General features: G+C 42.2%; 1 protein-coding gene across 4 annotated transcripts in view; it reads right to left on the minus strand.

Annotated features, from left to right (window-relative positions):
• Positions 1-20,829, minus strand: part of PCYT1B (phosphate cytidylyltransferase 1B, choline) — a 114,801-nt gene that overhangs the window by 21,187 nt on the left and 72,785 nt on the right. For all 4 annotated transcript variants that reach the window (NM_001163264.2, NM_001163265.2, NM_004845.5 and 1 more), the window contains 3 exons: positions 10,750-10,901; positions 7,968-8,046; positions 43-185 (listed from right to left, as the gene is read on the minus strand). In NM_001163264.2, the coding sequence (NP_001156736.1) occupies positions 43-185; positions 7,968-8,046; positions 10,750-10,901 (374 nt within the window). The remainder of the gene's footprint in view (positions 1-42; positions 186-7,967; positions 8,047-10,749; positions 10,902-20,829) is intronic.

Raw genomic sequence — 20,829 nt, forward strand, 5'->3', positions numbered from 1 at the left:
GTGGCATGGTGGTCTTCAGAGGGTTTGAGGTGGCATGCTTACATTTATAAAGCTGACATTCAGTTCCTTGGCTGTATACCCTCTCTGGAGGTTACGTCGGGCATAAACATCATAGTCACGAACAATTCTGGTAATGATGTCCGATGTTGAGATGCCTTCTGTTCTCTGCGTTGGAACGAACATCCCTGTTCAAGTAGAAAAGAGCGGATAGAGGAAAAATTAAGATCACCTCAGTTGACCCATCTCCTTTAATGGTCCCCCTTTACAGGACAAAGTTGGAGCTCCTGGGTATGCCAATGAAGACTTTACGTCTGGCCCCAAGTGACTCTTCCACCCTCAGTTCCGTGGAATTCCTCTCTACCTTAAATGCTACATGTTCATCATCCCAGACCTGTTTCCAGGACATACCATGTACTTGCCTGGCCCCTGCTGTTTATCCATGCTGAGCCTTTCCTTTCTGCCCTGGATACCCCCTCCCTGCTCATATTAACTGCAAAGCTCTTCCTCATCCTGCAAAGTCCAGCTTCAAGGTTATGCCTCTGGGAAGTCTTTTCTGACGTCATCAGGTAGAATCCACAACATTCAGAACCTAACTTATCTTTCATTAACAAAAATATTGGGCCAGCCATGGTGGCTCATGCCTATAATCCCAGTACTTTCGAAGGCCGAGGCAGGCAGACCATTTGAGTCCAGGAGTTCGAGATCAGCCTGGGCAACATGGCAAAACCCTGTCTTTACAAAAAATACAAAAGTTAGCTGGGTGTGGTGGTGCACGCCTGTGGTCCCAGCTACTTCGGAGACTAAAGTGAGAGGATCACTTGAGTCCAAGATCAAGGCTGCTGTGAGCAGTGACTGCGCCACTGCACTCCAGCCTGACCTTGTCTCAAACAAACAAAAAAAATTAAATATTTGTCTCCATGTAGAAAATGAACATTTTGAAAGCACTGATAGTGCCTTAACTGTCTTTGCATCCCCAGCACCCACCTCAGCCCCTGTGTCTAGCACATGGAAGGTGCTCAATAAATGGAAATTGAGTGAGAAAGTAAATGAAGACTAACAACTGAGTCAATGAATTAGATCACAGCAACTCTGCTTCATCTCCAAGGAAGTCTGCTCACATTATACTAAAGGAAAAGAAGAAAAAGTGTACTATTTGTGTCGTCTCTGATCTAAAGGCATGCCTGTAGGGATGGTTAGATGATTTATCTTCCTAAGAACAGTCTACTGTACATGGTAGTTTCACCACTCAAAGGCCCTTTCATCTAGAATATGTGGGGCTGAGTAAAAAATAAACAAGCACAGAGGATGCCAAGTTCTAATAGAACTTCCTTAAAGTCTTCAAAGATAAATGTGGGTATATCAACAGATATAGAGCTATAAAGAGGTCACAAATATTAACAAAGGCAAGAATCAGGTTTATGCTTACACTTCTGTTGTGAACTGAAATGACATGTTGTTGGCAACTGAGATCTTTCTATCCCATATCATTACGGCAACTCAGTCAGAGGCATCAGGCATGGGACAGTATGGACAAAGCCTGGGGACAAGGGCACTGGGTTCTTGGTTTGTAGACGTGGGCAAGTCACTCAAACCCTCTGAAGGCGAGTTACTTAACTGTAGTCTCCTCAGCTGAGAAAAAGGTGATTGGACATGATGACCTGGGACTCATCTGTGCCATTTCTTTCTCTCTCACTTCCCACATCCAACCAAGTTCCCAATCTACTTCTTAAATGTTTCCCTAATTCACTCACTTTCATCCATCCTAAACCAATTCAACACCATCTTGGTCAAAGATCACAGCAAGAACCTCAAAACCAGTCTCCAGCAATGTCATTTTTGTCTGCCTCAACCCAGAGAGCAAGTTCTACAGAGCATTCTTACTAAATGCAAGTCAGAGGTCTGCTCAAAACCCTCCACTGGCTTTCTGCTCTTCTCTGGATTCAGAGTCAAATCCTTAACTTGGCTGTGCAGTAGCTTGCATGTCTCTTCCCTGTGCTTCTCTCCAATTTTATCTCAGACCCTCTCCCTTTCACTCCCTAAACCAAGGCCCCCCTGCTATACAACTGCAGGGGGGGACTGCTGTTGTATTCTGTGGAGCTGTGCAGTAGGCTGACCCTGCCTCAGCCCAGCCATGCTGGGTTTCTTCAGTGTCCTGAAAGGGTTGGTTCCCCTCCCCTCACTCTGCCACAGACACAATCTTTACCTGGTTAACTCCTGGGCATCCACTGGGCTTCAGCTTTAGTGTCACTTCCTCAAGCAAATATCTCAACCCTCAGACTAGGTCTTCTGGTGTGTTGTTCCTTCCCATGGACCACTCCCCTTCCCTCCAAATACAGCAAGATCTTTATAAAATAACTTGTTCAACAACTGTCTTGTTGACTATAAGCTACACTAGGGAAGGGATCATGCCTTTCTCGTCCTCTTCTACATTCTCAGCACTGGGTGACAAACAGGCACCATAGGAATATTTCTTGAATGAATGACTAGATGAATATTGATCTCTAAGTGCCCTTCCAAACCCAGTTCTCTCTGAATGTTTCCATCTTGCAGCCCCAATGAGGGTGTCTCTTTGGAGCTTTCTTTTGATGTCATTTGCACATTTATAGTATCAGTAGCAGAGTGGCACTGCTGATGTTAGAGACAAAACATCCAGTTTCTTATGTTCCATGGTCAGAGGACAGTTGGGGTTTGCCACTAGGCCAAACACTTCTTTTATCACTTTCTAGGAGGGAAGAATCTAACACGGAAAACCAAATGGAAGGCAGAAGATGTAACCATCTAAACACACGAACATAAATAGCACCCAAATTGACCCAGCTGTGCAGGAGGCTCTGGTGGGTGGGGGAACCCTCAGACGACATCCCCACCTTTGTGGGAACAGTGGGGAACATTCTGGTGAGAAATCCATCCCATCTTTCAGCAGGCAGATATTTTACCCACACCCCTCCTGCTGAAATAATAAGACGATTCTCTAGTGACTAATGGATTTTAGCAAGTCATGTAAGACATTGATGCCATGAGCTTACCCTTTCTTTGAAGCCAGAAGGTGAAGTCTCTGTGTTTGAGTAACTGAAAGTAGATTTGGCTTAGGGAGAGATTTGCTTTGGCTGGTTGGGAGGTAGGTCTCTGAAAGAAGCCAAGTCCTCTGTTGACATAATGAGATACCCGGCTTCCTTCAAATCCTAATTATTGCTCTGCTAAAAATATTCGGTAATGAGCATGATCAGAGAACCTTTTTTATCATGCTTTTCAGAATTGCGGCATTTGGTTATGGAGCTATTTTAAGAAGCAGCAAAGCACATGTTAATGAAGGAAACTTTCAACAGTAGTAGGCAATATTAGAATGGTGATGAGTAATGTGGACCTTACAGTCTATTTAATTTAAGCTCCATCTTTTCATCCAGCTTTGCTAGAGGATTTTGACACATAGTTCTGACAAGCAGAGCAGAGTGTTGTAAAGCTTAAGTCATGCCCTTGATATCTCTGGTTTCATTTAAAGAGACTTTTGACTTTCAAAATAAGCCATGATTTGAGTATGAAAGCCAAATATGGATGCTGAGGCCATTTCTGAGCATCTTTCTCCCATGATGAATTCTGGCCTTCTCTACCTGGGTCCCAAATAGATCATTACTGTGATTCTCCCTCCTGCTAAGGAATCAGCAGAGCAGATTTGATGGAGCACAAGGAAGGGTCCTTGCACATAGGAAAAGTTACATCGAGTCTTAGCCTGTGCTACTAGGGCAAGTAAAATGCTACCTGACTATTCAATTTGGAAAGGGCATTGTGGTGCATTAAAGATGGCCCAATTCCCTTCCCCTGGAATCTGGGCTGGCCTCAGTGACTTGCTTGTACCAAATGAACGTGGCAAAAGTAACTCTGTGTGACTTCCACGACTAAGTCAGAAGAAGCCTTGTGGCTTCTGTCAAGATTGCTTTCTCTCTAGATATTACCTTTCAGCTGCCATGCTGTGAGAAGCCCAAGCAACATGAAGAGGCCACCTGTATGCCCCAGTGGCAACTGCAACTGAGTGCCATGATCATAGCCAGCATCCAAGGCCAGCCACGTAAGTGTACCACCTGGGAGCCCCAGCCCAGTCGAGCCTTCAGATGACCACAGCCCCCACCAACATCTGATTACAACTGTTTGAGAGACCCCAAGCAAGAACTACCCAGCCAAGCCTCTGCTAAAATCCTGCCCCACAAAATCATGAGTGAAATCAAGAGGCTCTTTTAAGTCACTAACTTTAGGAGTCACTTTCTTATGCAACAATAGGGATGCTGGATTGCTAGAGTTAGAAAAATGTTGGACTTGTTCCTACACCTAAACAACTGGAACTTGACATTTTATTCCCCAAATCAGGAAAGCAACATATTCTTAGCTCACTGACAGCCACTCACCCAGAAAGAAAACTGCCACCAAATGCTTATTCCTATACACTATAAGGTAGCCAAGGAACTACTGCCCCCAGGAAACACTGATTCAAGAAACCCTGGGGATAACTCAGCTGGATGAGAATGCCTGGTCCAGATCTTTGCTACTGTAAGTGAGGCCTATGGACCTACAGCATCTAACAACCTGAGAGCTCACTAGAAATGGGAATCTCTGGCCCCACCAGACCTACTGAATCTGAATCTGAATTTTCACAAGATTCCACAGATGATCTGAGGCATATCTAAGTTTCATAAGCACTGGTCTATAACAAATCCTTATGGCAATTTTAGGAAAGGAGCAGCTGGCTCATAGTTCAGATCTTACAATGACTTTAAAGGGTATTTATCAGGCCAGGCATGGTGGCTCATAGCTATAATCCCAGCACTTTGGGAGGCCGAGGTGGGAGGATCACTTGAGCCCAGGAGTTTGAGACCAGTCTGGGCAACATAGGGAAACTCTACAAAAAAGTTTAAAATTAGCTGGGCATGGTGGTGTGTGCCTGTAGTCCCAGCTACTTGAGAGGCTGAGGTGGGAGGATCGCCTGAGCCCAGGAGGTCGAGGTTGCAGTGAGCTATGATCATACCACTGTACTCCAGCCTGGGTGAAAGAGTGAGAACTTGTCTCATAAATTAAGTAAGTAAAGTAAGTAAATAAATAAATATTAATCACGCCATGCTGTAACCCATCTTGATGTAACTGAGGCATCTGCCAGTTTCTTCTCCAGTTCCAGAGCAGACTTCCAAGTCCGAAGTGTATGAGGTTTCCTTCCTTGGAACTCCTCACAAACAAGATTGAGACTTGAGAATGTCAGGCCTCCCATTATCCAATGCTCTTGACTTCTCAGGAAGTCCTTCCTAAGAGGATGGTACAGTCCCCACCACCAGCCCTGCAGGGGATGGCATGGAGCTTCCCAGGCTGGCCCACAAGGAGTGTGAACCAACAAAAATGCCATCAGGGAGAATACATACATTTTATGTAACAATAATTTTTCAAAATAGTATCCAATGTTGTTTTCATTTCTAGGGATCATGTCTGTCCTGAGGCCCTGTTCCCATGGACACTGAGAACTCGATGACTTCAGGGGGAGGCAGATGAAGCTGAGAGTACAGGAGGCCGTGTTCAGCCTTCAACTTCTAAAACAGGCTCTTTTTAAGGCTCATTTAAAAAGAAGAGTTAAGAAAGGCAAGAATTCCACTAGGAAGAGCCAAGCTTTGAGGAGTATAAAAAGGGTATTATAAATCCCAGAAGTGTCTTTTGAACTATTAAGAACCAGAGGCTGAGTAGACTCAGGGTACAGAATGTTTGACTATAAGCCCTGGAGTGTATATTAACCCTGGGAAGGCATGAAATTAATTAAGGGGCAGTTTTCTGCTCTCCAGGAAGAAGAAAAGCACCTCTGGGAGTTGAGGGGAGGAGTGCAGAGAGGGATTGGGAAGCGGACAGCAGAAATGAGAGAACAGGAGTGCGGTCTGTCCCTTGCTCTGACTCAGGTTCAAATACCAGGGGCAGGGGCAGGAAAGAGACCCCTTTAGAAAGCTCAGTGCAGGGCCACTGGCACCTTGTTTATGGCCAGGAATTTTGGAAAGAAATAGTTTTACAGAGGCCAACATGGCGGGCAGGTCAGACAGGGCCTGACATGGCTTACTGACATTGCCTGGTTTCCCTTGCCCTCTAGTAGATTATGGAGGACAGTTTTTAAATTTCCTGGGGACTCTCTAGAGGAATATGGAAGGAAGCCAAGATTTAAGATCAGCATGACTGCTGGGCAGCACACCTATAGCACAGGGAAGGGAATCCTGCGGCAGATGCTGTGGCCAGGACAGGCCAAAGTGGGGAGGTGACAGTCTCAGGCCAAAGTGGGGAGATGACAGAGTCTCAGAGGCTGCCACAGGGGTCTGGTAAGTGGGGCTGATGGCTAAGCAGGTCTTGAGACCTCACAACTAAAGATCCCCATCCCATGCCAGGCCAGAGTGCTCCAGAAACTTAGATCACCTCAGGAGAAAAAGGCAAAAAGTTTACTCTACACAGTCTAAGTACAAACCTAGAAGAGTCTGAATGATTTCACATGTCAAGTGTATTTTTTTTTTCTGTCAGCTGTGGAAATGGGGTTTCCTAGTTAAGTTTAGTTATGGAAACCACTTATGGCCCCCCAGTTGCTCCTTCCCACACAAAAGACCTGATCACGACACTCCCCTGCCTCAGAACAGTATTTGGTTCCATGTAACTTCATATGGAAGCAAGCCTCAACCAGCTTGTCCTGCCAGTCTCCATCTCTGCCTCCCACCTCCACACACCCTACACTACATTAACATGTTTATTTTCTCCAGACACGCTGTGCTTCATACAGTCCCACCTTCGAACATGCTGCCCTGGCCTGCTGTATTGTATATACTCTGCCACAGGCTGGTTATATTTTGGGTAATTATTTATGTCTGTCTCTGCTCTCTCTCAAGGGTGAGGTCTATGTCTTATTCATTTTCTCTTATACAATTCCTGGCTTATAGATGCACTCAGGGGATTCATATATTAAACAATGACAGCCAAAACCATCCAAGATGGAACGGGCTGCCTCACAAGGCAGGGAGTTCTCCATCATGGGGAATGTAAAAGCATCAGTTCTGCCAGGAGCTGGCAATGATGCCAAGAAGGAGATAGGAGCCTGGGTCAGTGACCCTTAGGAGCCCATCCTACCTCAAGAATCTGAAGGTCCATGAGTACCAAGAAAAGGCTGTAGTGGCAGCAGGCTGAGTGGGAAATGGTGGGAGCAAGCTGAGTGGAGTCTCATTGGTCCCCAGGAGTGGGGAAGATGGCTCTGATGGCACATGTCAACAATGGCTCTAGTATAAGCAGGGAGCACTAGACTTCTTGAAATCCCTATGCATATGGTAACTCACTATAGTATCTGCACCTGCCAGATTATGGTTTAATGTATGTAGGAAGGTATGCATGGGTGTACCTACAGTGCCTATAGATGAGATGCATGGTAGATAGTAAAATAGCAGAAAATAAGCCAAGCCATTAAAACATTTACCCATTTTTTTTTGCCTCCACATATGGTACCTGATAATATTACTAACATGTGACAAGATGACACTAGAAATATGGCAGGACTAACTTTGGACAGAAGGAGTCCAGATTATTAACTAGCCAGTTATCTACCTGCTTCTGGAAGGAAATTTCTTGGGAGTATCCAATAATCTCATTGTGAAGACTTAATTATGAATGAGGAAAATGGCTGCCATTTAAGTAATGGGGTCCTGCACTTTTCGTCTGATGACCCCGGAAATTAAGCCTTAGACCTGAAGTTGAGCACTTTGGTGCTCAGGTTCATTCCTATATAAATACCTAAATGGTATCTGTGCCATAACTGAGCCTTAGCACATGCTAACAGTGGCTTGTAGAAGCCGCCTGGGGGACACCTAAAGTTGTAACTCCCTGTTTGTATACACTGCAGATGTCCCAGGGCAGACAGATGTCTCTTATTGCACCTGATTATTGTGATGTGGTTGACAGGTGAGCACAGGGGAATGCCTCACCTGCTTCCTTTATGTGCTTGTAAACATCATCAGAGCCAGCAGAGGAATACGGAATGTCATCATGAGCCACAAAGTCAATCTGTTGAAGAGAGAGAAGAGTGATGTCACCACTGGGATGGATGTGCATGTCTGCAGATTTGAAGGGGGGAATGGTGACTTCATAATGCCTTTTCAAAATAAGGCAGTTGTATGTTACATTTATAGTGGAGACCTGAATCCTTGGCTGAAATGTATTTCCAACTATTTTCATTTCTATGAGATAATGGGAACTAGAAGAATAAATGTTTTGGTTTCTCTCCTTTGCTGGTCCCTCTTTCTTGTCCTACCCCAGAGAGTAGGATTTCTTGGTCTTCTGTCCTTCTGCATCTAAAGTTTCTCCTTGAGAGAACTCATTAATTCTTTGAATTTTTATCATCCCTCCTATGATGAGGAACCCAAATCTTCATTTCCTGTCCCATTGATGGCAATGGGCACTCACACTTAGGTCACATTTTATACTGTGAAAAGGAATTTGTCTCTTTCCTCATTCGATCCTCATAACCACCTTGTGAGGTGGGCAGGCCACATGTTACTACTTCAGTTGGGACATAAGGTGCTGAAACTAGAAAATTTGTTAGATTTACCCAAGGCTTAAAGACTGGAGTGGGCCGCTGGGGCACCAGGCCATGTTTAGCGGGCTGCCAGGGCACCAGGCCAGGTGGGCTTAATTCCCACTGCATCCCTCTCTTTTACCACTTGCTGTCACTTTAAATCATCTTGTCCTGTCCTGTCCTGAATTTAATTCATCTTCCTGAAAACGAGTGACCCCTTCCAATGGCACTTTTATTTTATTTATTTTGGGTCTTGGGGAGACCCAAACCTTGGAATAAGCCTCTTTTCTCTACTTATTTCACTCACCCTAGGTTCTGCTGGGATGTGTGTGTGTGTGTGTGTTTGTGTGCACACATGCATATGTAGGTGTGTGCCCATCATTTTCTCTCCATTGCAACTACACCAAATCCAGGACCTGGTCACCCAGATTACTGACACCAACTTGTATCTGGCCTTCCTCACTGTAGGCCCCCTCCTCTCCAAGCCATCCTGCTGTCACATGGGGTATCCTCCTTAAACAGGTTTTTTTGTTTTTGTTTTTGTTTTTTTCTGGTCATCCTCATGCCTGCTCATCTTTATTCCTGTTTCCTGCAACATCAAGCAAACACTCCTTGCCTAGATTTTAAAGCCCTGTATAACAAGCCCTTTATAATGGGGTTTCACTCTACCTTGAGAGGTAATTTAGAGTAGCAGTAGTTAAATACTTGAGAGGTAGTTTAGAGATAGTTTAGAGTAGTATGATTCCCTGCCCCACTACTTGCTGGCTATATAACTCATAAGTTAGGGGAAAGATTCAATTAGGATTTCTCAAGCTCAGTACTAGTGACATTCGGGACTGGAGAATTCTTTGGTGTCGGGAGTTGTCCTGTGCATTGGCACATGCTTAGCTTTTACCCACTAGAAGCCGGTAGCACCCCTCTAGCTGAGACAACCCCAAATGTCTCAAGACATTGCCAAATGTTCCTCAGGGCAAACTCACCCCAGTTGAGAATCACTGGATTAAATGACATAATTATGTAAAAATGCTGAAAAACAATTAGTACGGAGTATATCCTCAATAAATGTTTATTATTATTATTATTATTAATTCTATTCTTAGTACTCAAACTTAGTTCCTTTTCCTCTCCAATGTATAATAACAACTTCTCAGGGTAGCTGTGAGATTGAATTCAATTCATATAATGACAAGGCCCTTAGCACAGTGCCGGGCACATGGTAAATACTCAATAAATTACAGCCATCATTATCATTATAAGTATCCCCCATAATGCCTAGCACATGTTGAATATACAATAGATGCTTAGTAAAAATGTGGTAGTGATTACTGGAAGTAAATCATATTGTAGTTTTTCCTTTTTCTTTTTATTCTCACTGGGAAATTGTCTCTTCAGCTATTACTCATGCACATTTATCAGTGTTCTCTATTCTCTTCTGCATCGTGGCTTTAAAAATAGAAAAGAAAATTCTTAGAACAGCTTAATCTTATTTTTTTTGTACTGCTTATAAAAGGAAAGAATAGCTCCTAATGTGGGGCTGGTAGGGAGATACAAAGCACATAATTTGATGCAGATCAAAAGAATCTCTCATGTTTCCAACTAATAAAAATCTTATGTCAGTAGGATTCTCAGGGTCACAAAATCATAGATATAAAGTTCTTTCTTTAAAGGCTGACCTGTGACTTTCTGGATAAGATGTGTGTTCATTTGTCCCATGAAAAAGAATGCCTGTGAATCGATAAGCATCAATAATGACGGTGGTGATGGTGGTGACAATGACATTTTTGGAGCTCTTGCTATGGGCCAGCCAGTGTTCTAACTGCTTAACTAAGATTACCTCTTAGATCTTCAAAACACGTCCACAAGGAAGATACCAACATCATCCCATTTTACAGTTGAGGTAAGCGAGTACAGTGTGGTTAGATATCTTGTTCAAGGTCCCACAACTAGGAAGAGATAGAGGCAGGATTTGGACCTGGGCGGTTTAGATCCAGGGCCCACACTCAAAGAAGTGAGAGGATACCAGTCCTCGGGCTTGGGCGGACGAAAGGTGCCACATCAAGCAGTTCCACATGACAGTTCCTGAAGTTACCTCTTTTAGAAATTGAGAGAGACTTTGGGCTTTCCGTAGTCTTGGCTGCAGAACCAGACTCCCTAATCTTGCTACTTAGAGAATGTGGGAGAATGAGAAGTACCTTGTGTTTTTCCAGAAACTCTGGCGTGAGTGTCCAGGGAGCATCTCTGATAACTTCGTCTACGTAGCGACAGTGTCTGAGAGCTTCGTATCTCTCGGCTTCATTCATCACGGTGAAACCTTTGAATTTGTGGGTGAGATCATCACTGCAAACTAAAACAGGCAAATGCATTAAATGCCATTACTCGGCCCAGGACCTGCTCACAGCCACCCTGGTTCAGACAAGGCTTCTTCAGCAGGACAAAAGAAGCACAGCCTCGCTAGGTGCTTGTCATAATTGTACTCAGTTTTTAAAGGGAACAAAGGATTTGGAGAGCAAAGTAAGCTAAAATCCACCGACAATTCAGAATTTCATTTTAATGCTAATTACATCTGCATTCTCCACTGTGGCTTCTATTAAAATTATTCTCTACACTACCTAATGTGACTTTCATATCTTTTTATTTTCCTATCCCACCCCTCAGTGAAAATTACCATTCAGAAATAAAATGACCAAATGAACAGACACAGGAGGGAGAGAAGGAGAGGAACCAAGAGGCCTGATTTACAGGAGGTTTGAATGGTTTGAACAATCAGTTCCAATTATTTTACTAGATTATTGTACTTTGTAACCCAAGTGTGAGACAGACAGACAGACACACACACAAATACATATACTTCTGTTCCCTGGATTGAGGGCCAGTCACTACACATCAGGTCACTCAATCAAGAGAAGAAAGTCATAAAATCAAAGGTTTGATCTAGTAGAGTTCATCCTTTCACATCTCTCTTTTTTTTTTTTTTTTTTTTTGAGACAGAGTCTCGCTCTATCGCCCAGGCTGGAGTGCAGTGGCTCCATCTCAGCTCACTGCAAGCTTCGCCTCCCGGGTTCACGCCATTCTCCTGCCTCAGCCTCCTGAGTAGCTGGGACTACAGGCTCCTGCCACCACCCAGGCTAATTTTTTTGTACTTTTAGTAGAGATGGGTTTTCACTGTGTTAACCAGTATGGTCTCGATCTCCTGACCTTGTGATCCACCCACCTCGGGCTCCCAAAGTGCTGGGATTATAGGCGTGAGCCACCACACCCGGCCTCCACATCTCTTATATTTTCTAGATCTCAGGTTCCTGAACCCTCAAATGGGGATATCTTCCACTATCAGCCTTAGAAAAGATGTTTCGAGAACTTAGAAAAAAAGTGCTTTTAAACAAACTGAACAATAAATACTATTCACTATCCTATCTTTTGGTTGGCCAAGGCAGCTTTCCTAAGATCTCCTATGTGTCAGGAAGAAATATCATTGTGGGTACAGTCCCTGTTTACCAAGATCCCAGTGAGAGCCTTGCGGTGGCCAGTCAGAACTACCCTGACTGCTCTTTGCAATGAAATTTTTTTTTCTTTAAAATATTATGTACTTACAATAAATTCACTAATTTTTTTTTGAGACAGAATCTTGTTCTGTCACCCAGGCTGGAGTTCAGTGGCGTGATCTTGGCTCACTGCAACCTCCACCTCCCAGGTTCAAGTGATTCTCCTGCCTCAGCCTCCCTAGCAGCTGGGATTACAGGTGCGTGCCATGACACCCAGCCAATTTTTGTATTTTAGTAGAGATGGGTTTTCACCATGTTGGCCAGGCTGGTCTCGAACTCCTGACTGCAAGTGATCCACCGGTCTCAGCCTCCCAAAGTGTTGGGATTACAGGCATGAGGCACTGTGCCCAGCCAACAAATTCACTAATGTTAAGTGTACAATATGTGTTTAATTTAAAAATTTTAATTGATGCATAATAATTAACATATTTATGGGGTAGAGGGTGATGTTTCCATGCATGTATACATTGTATAATAATCTAATCAGGATATTTAGCATATCCATCACCTCATACCTTTATCATTTCTTTGTGGTAAGAACATTCAAAATTCTGTCTTATAGCTATTTTGAAATATACAATATTGTTAACCATAGTCACCCTAATGTGCAATAGAACACCAGAACTTATTCCTCCTAACTGTAACTTGGTACTCGTTGATGAACTTCTCCCTGTCCCCCGTCATCTACCTTCCCCAGCCTCTGGTAACCACTGTTCTACTCTCTGTTTCCATGAGATCAGCTTCTTTAGATTCCATATATAAGTGGTATATAAACACAAAGAAATACTATTTAGCTATGAAAAAGAATGAAATCCTGTCATTTATGGCAACATGGATGGATCTGGAGGTTATTTTGTTAAGTGAAATAAGCCAGACACAGGAAGACAAATACTGCCTAATCTCACAAGATGTGTTTTAAGAACAAAAATATGATCATTTTCTTGGAACTGAATGATGACCCACACCCAGAATCAAATCTGGCCACAGAGTAAGCACAGCCAACAGTCACACTCAGCATCCTTGGAAAACCTTCTTTTGTAGTCCCTTCACATAATCCACACCCAAGCCATCAGGAAAACTGCAGGCTCTGCCTTCAAAGCACACCCGGAAGCCATGTTTTTCTCAGCACCTCCACTGCTCCCATCCCCACCCCTTCATCATCTCTCCCAGGGATGACTGCAGTAGCCTCTTAACTGATCTCCTGATTCCAGCCTTGCCCACTCCCAACAACCTATTCTCATTGGCCAGAATGAGCCTGTTGAAGCTTGTCAGTCTGTGTCATTCCCAAATTCAGAACCCTTCCTGTCTCATTCAGAGTAAAACCAAAGTCCTCCAGTGGCTGACAAGACCTACGCCTCTGCCCACTCCTTGCCTCCCTGACCAGTCTCCTAGTGTATCCCAGCTCCCCGGCCTTGCAGTTTCTTGAATGCTTCTTCTCAGGTCCGGGCCTTGCACTATTCTCCAAACCTGGAATAGTTGTGCTCCAAATACTCATAGAGCTCACCTTCTCCTCTCCCTCAAGTCTTTCCCCCTACCCTCTTCTTTTTTTGTTTGTGTTTTTTGGACAGAGTTTTGCTCTTGTTGCCCAGGCTGGAGTGCAATGGCACGATCTTGGCTCACTGCAACCTCTGCCTCCCGGGTTCAAGCGATTCTCCTGCCTCAGCCTCCCAAGTAGACCCACCCTCTTCTGAATTGTGATCCTCTGCTGCATTACTTCTCCCCATGACACTTGTCTCATGTAGCTGTCTTATTTAGTTTTATTGTTGGTGTTCCCCTATAAATTCCCCGAGGGCAGGGACTTTTGTTTCATTTTCTGATGTACCATACCTGGCCCCTAGTAGGCTTTTAACAATATTTGTTGAATGAATTAACAAAGCCTGATACATATAGATACTCAAGAAATATTTATTATTATTTACAATAATAGATTTATATTTATCTACAGGTTCCTTCTTTTTCTTTTCTTTCTTTCTTTCTTTGTTTCTTTCTTTCTTTCGTTTCTTTCTTTCTCTCTCTCTCTCTTTCCTTCTTTCCCTTTCTTTCTTTCTCTCTTTCTTTCTTTCCTTTCTTTCTTTCTTTTCTTTTCTTTTCTTTTCTTTTCTTTTCTTTTCTTTTCTTTTCTTTTCTTTTCTTTTCTTTTCTTTTCTTTCTTTCTTCCTTTCTTTTTTTGTTTTGGACACAGAGTCTCCCTCTGTTGCCCAGGCTGGAGTGCAATGGCGCGATCTCAGCTCACTGCAACCTTCACCTTCTGGGTTCAAGCAATTCTCCTGCCTCAGCCTCCCGAGTAGCTGGGATTACAGGCACCTGCCACCACACCTGGCTAATTTTTGTATTTTTAATAGAGATGGGGTTTCGCCATGTTGGCCAGGCTGGTCTCAAAGTCCTGACTTCAAGTGATCCACCTGCCTCAGCCTCCCAAAGTGCTGGGATTATAGGCGTGAGCCACCGCGCCTGGCCTACAGGAACGTTTCAACAACATACACGCAAAGGAGAGACTAATGAGCTTCTAGATGCATATAAATATATATATATATGCCTCTATATCTCCTATACATACTTCCTGAGATGTTTTCTATTATAAAAGTTTATATTACCAAAACAACATCAACCATATGTCTGGCCTGAAAACTGATGAGTATCAGAATCACCCAAGGAGCTTGTTAAACACATGTAAAGAAACCCAGCTCACTCCCTGAGATTTTTGATTCAGTGAGTCTGTAGTGGGGCCCAGATAGCTCTGTCTTTGACAAGCTTCAGAGATGATTCTGATGAAGACAACATTTGAAAACCCTGAAGCATATTATAAATAACTTGAGTCAAGAGCTCTGCCTGTCTTTAAATCACCCATTATGCCCAGAGGTGGGGGGGAAGGTGGGCAGGAGGGACAGGTAGTAGGGCCATAATAACTATGTGTTGATTTATTGACTATATTAGTTTTTGACCCCATAAACAGGAATTCTTTATGGGCCATGCAATATGATTTCAAAACCAATCTAAGACTTTTTGAATGTTCTTTTAGGACCTTATTAAAATACCACCCTGAGAATCATATTGAGCAGAAATGGATTTCAGATTCATCCATTTTCCATTTTCTATTTTAAACAGCACAAAACTAGGCCGTGCCACATCCTCCCCCTTTCTGAATCTGCACCTGAGCAATTTGGTATAACTTCTACATGACCGAGATAATGGCCTACTGATAGAGCACAAAGAAAACAAACATCCTGTTTATGCCAATACAGGGTCCTATTTTCCTATCCCAGGAGTGACCTCAAGAAGCAGCTGAACATGCTGACCAGTTATTGTCTAAACATTAATTACGCCCAAAGCAGCACTGTTGTTCTTGAGTCTTGGCAAATGCACTCTGACAACCAGATGGAGAGCTCTGGGCAGCGGTATTCCATGGATGAATTCATTGAGCTATCTGGGAACTCATGCTGCAACTAACCTATGCTGGCAGCTCACTGTGCTCCCACAGGAGAGAAAATACAACATAGGAATTGAGCTTGGGAGCCCAACAGACTCGGGTTCTAATCCCAGCTCTGCTATTACCGGAAAAGTTACTCAAACTCTCTGAGCCTCAGTTATCTGGTCTTTAAAACATGGTGAAGTTTTGAGAATTAAATTTGATCATCTTTATGAGCAGAGAGTAATGCTGAATAATGTTAGCCATTTACGAATAGTAGTAGGAAAATACGATCACTCATGGATCTATTCCTTCAGATTTTGTGTTCTGTCTTTTCCCTGCCCCCTACTCCAAGCAGGTATGAGGGCCCCGTGGTACAGACTCCTTTGTAGGTGCTGTGAGCTCAAGTTGCTAGTAGACAGCCTGCCTTCCTGGCTGCTGTTTTCCTGAAGCCAGAGCAACTTGAGGGGTATTCTGGAAAGAAGAAGACAATGAGAGAGGAGATCTCTCCAAATTGCAGGGAAAGGGCCAAATGTCTATGGATCCCACAAGCAGCAGATGCCAGTGGCAGGACCTCAAGAGAGATGAGAATGTGAGGCCCTAGGCATGGGAGTTCTACCTGGGAACAGACTGCAGGTGACTGAACTGTGATAGGTGCAATGAATCTGCTCCCTTCTAGTAATTATCTGGGCTCAGACAGTGAGGGCAGTGCAAAAATAGCCCTGGGTTGAAGACTGGAGGCCCCGCTCCTGTTTCTATAAACATTGTGGACACTTGTTTGACTCTGGGGAGGTAAAGAGAGCCCAGTAAAGTCTGAGACTAGGCCAGGCGCAGTGGCTCATGCCTGTAATCCCAGCACTTTGGGAGACCGAGGTGGGTGGATCATTTGAGGTCAGGAATTCGAGACCAGCCAGGCCAACATGGTGAAACCCCGTCTCTACTAAAAACATAAAAATTAGCCGGGCGTTAGTGGTGCACGCCTGTAATTCCAGCTACTCAGGAGGCTGAGGCAGGAGAATCGCTTGAGCCTGGGAGGCAGAGTTTGCAGTGAGCCGAGATCACACCACTGCACTTCAGTCTGGGCGAGAGAGTGAGACCCTGTCTCAAAGAAAAAAAAAAAAAAAAGACTGAGACTGAATTTCCTACCAGTCAGGCAAAAGGGACTCTTAAAGAATATTTAGTTCCAATTAAAATATAATAAAATAAACACAAGTTTGTGGAGTAATCTTTATGTCTTCTATAGTAGTAGTAGTATGTTTACTGTTGTTATTTTTATTGCCCTCCTGCGAAGCAGAGGTGGCTATTTGGTGACTCTTTAAAAATTTTTTTAGGGAAAAAAACACACTAGTATAAATTTTAATTCCTTGGCCTGTTTTTAAATGACACAAACTTGTAAATTAAAATGAAGGAAAAAAGAGCTTTACAAGTGGAGAGTCTCAATTCACTAAAATAATGCCAACAAGGTAAGCTTGCATAGAAGAATTTTCAAATTATTACTGGCTACATGCTTAAAAAATTAGAAGTGCAGGTATTGGGCCAGGTGCGGTGGCTCATGCCTGTAATCCCAGCACTTTGGGAGGCCGAGGTGGGCAGATCACTTGAGGTCAGGAGTTCGAGACCATCCTGGCCAACATGGTGAAACCCTGTCTCTACTTAAAATAGAAAAGTTAACCAGGTGTGGTGGTGCATGCTTGTAATCTCAGTTACTGGGGAGGCTTAGGTGGGAGGATTACTTGAACCCAGGAGGTGGAGCTTGCAGTGAACCAAGATCATGGTACTGTATTCCAGCCTGGGCAACAGAGTGAGACTCCATCTCAAAAAAAAAAAAAAAAAGTGCTGGTGTTATAATCATAGGGCAAAACCATGACGATTGTGGTGCCTTTTACTGCCTAAGGTTGAGAAATAGACTATAGTACCTCCAGTTATCACAGTTTCTGGTCCTTTAATAAATGATTTCTGACAAATACCAAGTATTTCTACCAAATACTTGTCCCCATACTTGCCCTGACCAAAGTGGTTTCATGAGTGAAGTCTTCGCTCCACCCAAGGGAACTCCTACAGCAAACCTACCTGCATATGGAAAGGGGACCCTAGTTAATATGGCAGGCCCATTTAACTCACTGTAAGCATTTTACATGTTGACCACACATACAGTAATCAAGATCCAGCCTTTCAACCAACAACACAGGACACCTATTCTTGAAGACCTCCCTAACTTTCCTCAGTATAGAATTGTCTGCCATTAAGTTGGTTGGTTTGTCATTCTCCAGAAAGACAGTCTAAGATAAAGGTCTCCTTAAACTACGATACATATACCCTCATGGACACACACAGACTTTTCTTTTTTCTTTTCTTTTTTTTTTTTTTGAGATGGAGTCTCGCTCTGTCACCCAGGCTGGAGTGCAGTGGCGTGATCTCGGCTCACTGCAACCTCCGCCTCCTGGGTTCAAGCAATTCTCCTGCCTCAGCCTCCCAAATAGCTGGGATTACAGGCGTGTGCCACCACGCTTGGCTAATTTTTGTATTTTTAGTAGAGACGGGGTTTCACCATGTTGGTCAGGCTGGTCCCGAACTCCTCACCTCATGATCCGCCCACTCGGCCTCCCAAAGTGCTGGGATTACAGGCATGAGCCACCGCACCCAGCCACATAGACTTTTCAAAAGGTATCCATGAACAGCTAGTTTTAAACGAATCAATGTCCAGATTCAACTTCCAGTGGTACACTTTCCTAATATTAACTAGGTCAAGAAAGTCTCTGGGTCCAAAGCCATGCTTACTCCACTTTACAAAAGAAAGGCACCACCCAAACCTTAATATGTTGCATTGGAAGGGGTGGAGGGCGATTTAGCCTTCAGGGCAAACCAAATGGAAATCTCAGTTAGTGACCATTCAAAGCACCATGAACCTATGAAAGCTTCCTGTCTTTCCCTGTCTTACACACATTTCTGTTACAGGTGAAGCCTAGTGTTAGAAACTCAATATGGTAGAGTGGAGAATAATGCAAATTTTTGCCCAACAACTTTGCCTCTTCTCCCAACTATTGTCAAAAAACACATGGATCTTTAGGGATAAGGCCCAAGAACTCAAAGCAAAAGGAGCATTGGAAAGAAATAGTGAATTCTAAAAAAATGGCTTTTTCATGTAGTCAAGGGTAAGCATTTTTTCAGCTATTCTTAACACTCATATTGAATCCTAAAAATGGCTTTTCTCTTGTAGATAAGAGTAAGCACTTTTTTCCAGCTATTTACTTGAAAATCACTTCAATAAACCAAAGCTATATAGGCTGGTACTGCTGCTTCTTAGAAATGTGACTAGAATATTTTCTAGAATTATCAAATTTTTCAAGATACATTGGAATAGACACATGGGTAAAACATTTACATAATTTTTTACAGGCTTCATACGCATTACTTAAAAAGGAAGTTAAAAACCTGTGTTATCAACTTATATCATAAAATATTTATTCTATTTACAGGTCATCCTAATTCATCTCATTGTCTATAATGTTTATTTTCTACCTCTTTATAACAAAAAATAAAATTATTATCTGCCTCCAGACCAATTACTTTTTAATAATATATGCCCCCTTTCTATCTTTAAATACATAGGAAAAGTTTAGTCATGGTATCTACTAAAGATAACTATTTCTGTTTTTCATATTTATTTGATTATTCCCAAAAGGCAAACACTAGAATTTGATATATATATACACACACACACACACACACACACACTCACACACACACGTGTGCCAATATTTAGAGAAGGAATAACATGCCTTTTAAAAATCATACTCTTCTTCGTATAAATATCACATAATTTTATGTATAAATTACATTGCATTACTACAAATTAAGTGCATTGATTTATTGTCTTGTCTTGTTTATAACTTATTATATTAGATCTACATCATTTTAATCTTGACTGATTCTATTTTACATAATCCATTCTATCATTTATTTTTGAGTGTTTTTTATAAAGCTTCTTGAAATACATTAATACATTTGAACTGAAAATACATTAATGCATTTGAATTGAAAAGACATTTTCTTGGTTTGTAGGTTTTTAGTAGGTTTGACAATGAGGACTGGTTTTGCCAATTTGGTTGGATGGTGTTTTCTGCAAAGTTAGTAATCTGAAACTGTAGCCCTGAGATTTTGTTTTTTAAAAAAGGTTGTAAGCAAATGATAAAAGCATTTTATCAAAAATTACTTGATTGGCAATGATGTAATTAAATTACTAATATTTCCATTTCCCAAATCCTTTCTGGCTATATCTAGTTGAATAAGTTGCTTTCAAGTAAAAGAATAAGGGATATAATTAAGAGTCATTTAATAACTCTTGATATAGCCTTTTGTTAGAAGTCCCAGAAAGAGAAAAAGCAAATGATTCTAATAGCTTGGCAACAAATCCTTTTGCAGGTCAGGTCATTTCTAATCCATTGCTTGCAACAAATTTGAAGGAGGATCTTAACAAATTGTCACTTGATAGACCATTAAAATTACTTTTGATGGCAATAATAATAATAAATTATGTTGTTATTTTTGGTAAATAACTCAGAAGTTCAAAGAATTGAGTGGCATCACTGTAACAAACTCCTTCCATTCTATCTACACATTTGCATGAACAACATATTTCAGCACTTATAACTATGACAAGGAAAAAATAGGGATAAAATTGATGTTAAACCCTGCCTCATTCTAGCAGTCAGTTATATTCATCCATAAGTACATCTCCAGGTACATACTATTCATCTCATTAAGAGATACATTGCTGTCCAAATTTATGTCTATGTTAACAATTATTTATCAAAGTGTATATAATGTGGTGCTTTGGTTAGTTATGCTCTAATTTATATACATATTTTTGTTTCAGAGAAGTATGATACAGTGATCACTAAAAGATTTGCAAACATTAAAACACATCACATTAGGAAAAATTATGGGAGAGAAGCAGAATGAAAATATAAGTTTGAGGGAAAAAATGAAACTTATAAATATTTAAAAGTTAAAAAATAGCTTGTTATATGTTTTGTAAATTGTTGATGATATATTTCAAAGCATTATAGTATTTAGATGCCAATAGATGCATTAAAGTGATGGGGTAACAATTTTGTTTTTTATTTATGTATTTATTTATTTATTTGTTGGAGATGGAGTCTCACTCTGTCACCCAGGCTGGAGTCCAGTGGCGCAATCTCAGCTCATGGCAACCTCCGCTTCCTGGGTTCAAGCGATTCTCCCACCTCAGCCTCCCTAGTAGCTGGGACTACAGGTGCACGCCTGGCTAGTATTTTTGTATTTTTAGTAGAGATGGGGTTTCATCA

Source organism: Homo sapiens, chromosome X, assembly GCF_000001405.40.
Source record: "Homo sapiens chromosome X, GRCh38.p14 Primary Assembly".
NCBI classification, from domain to species: domain Eukaryota; kingdom Metazoa; phylum Chordata; class Mammalia; order Primates; family Hominidae; genus Homo; species Homo sapiens.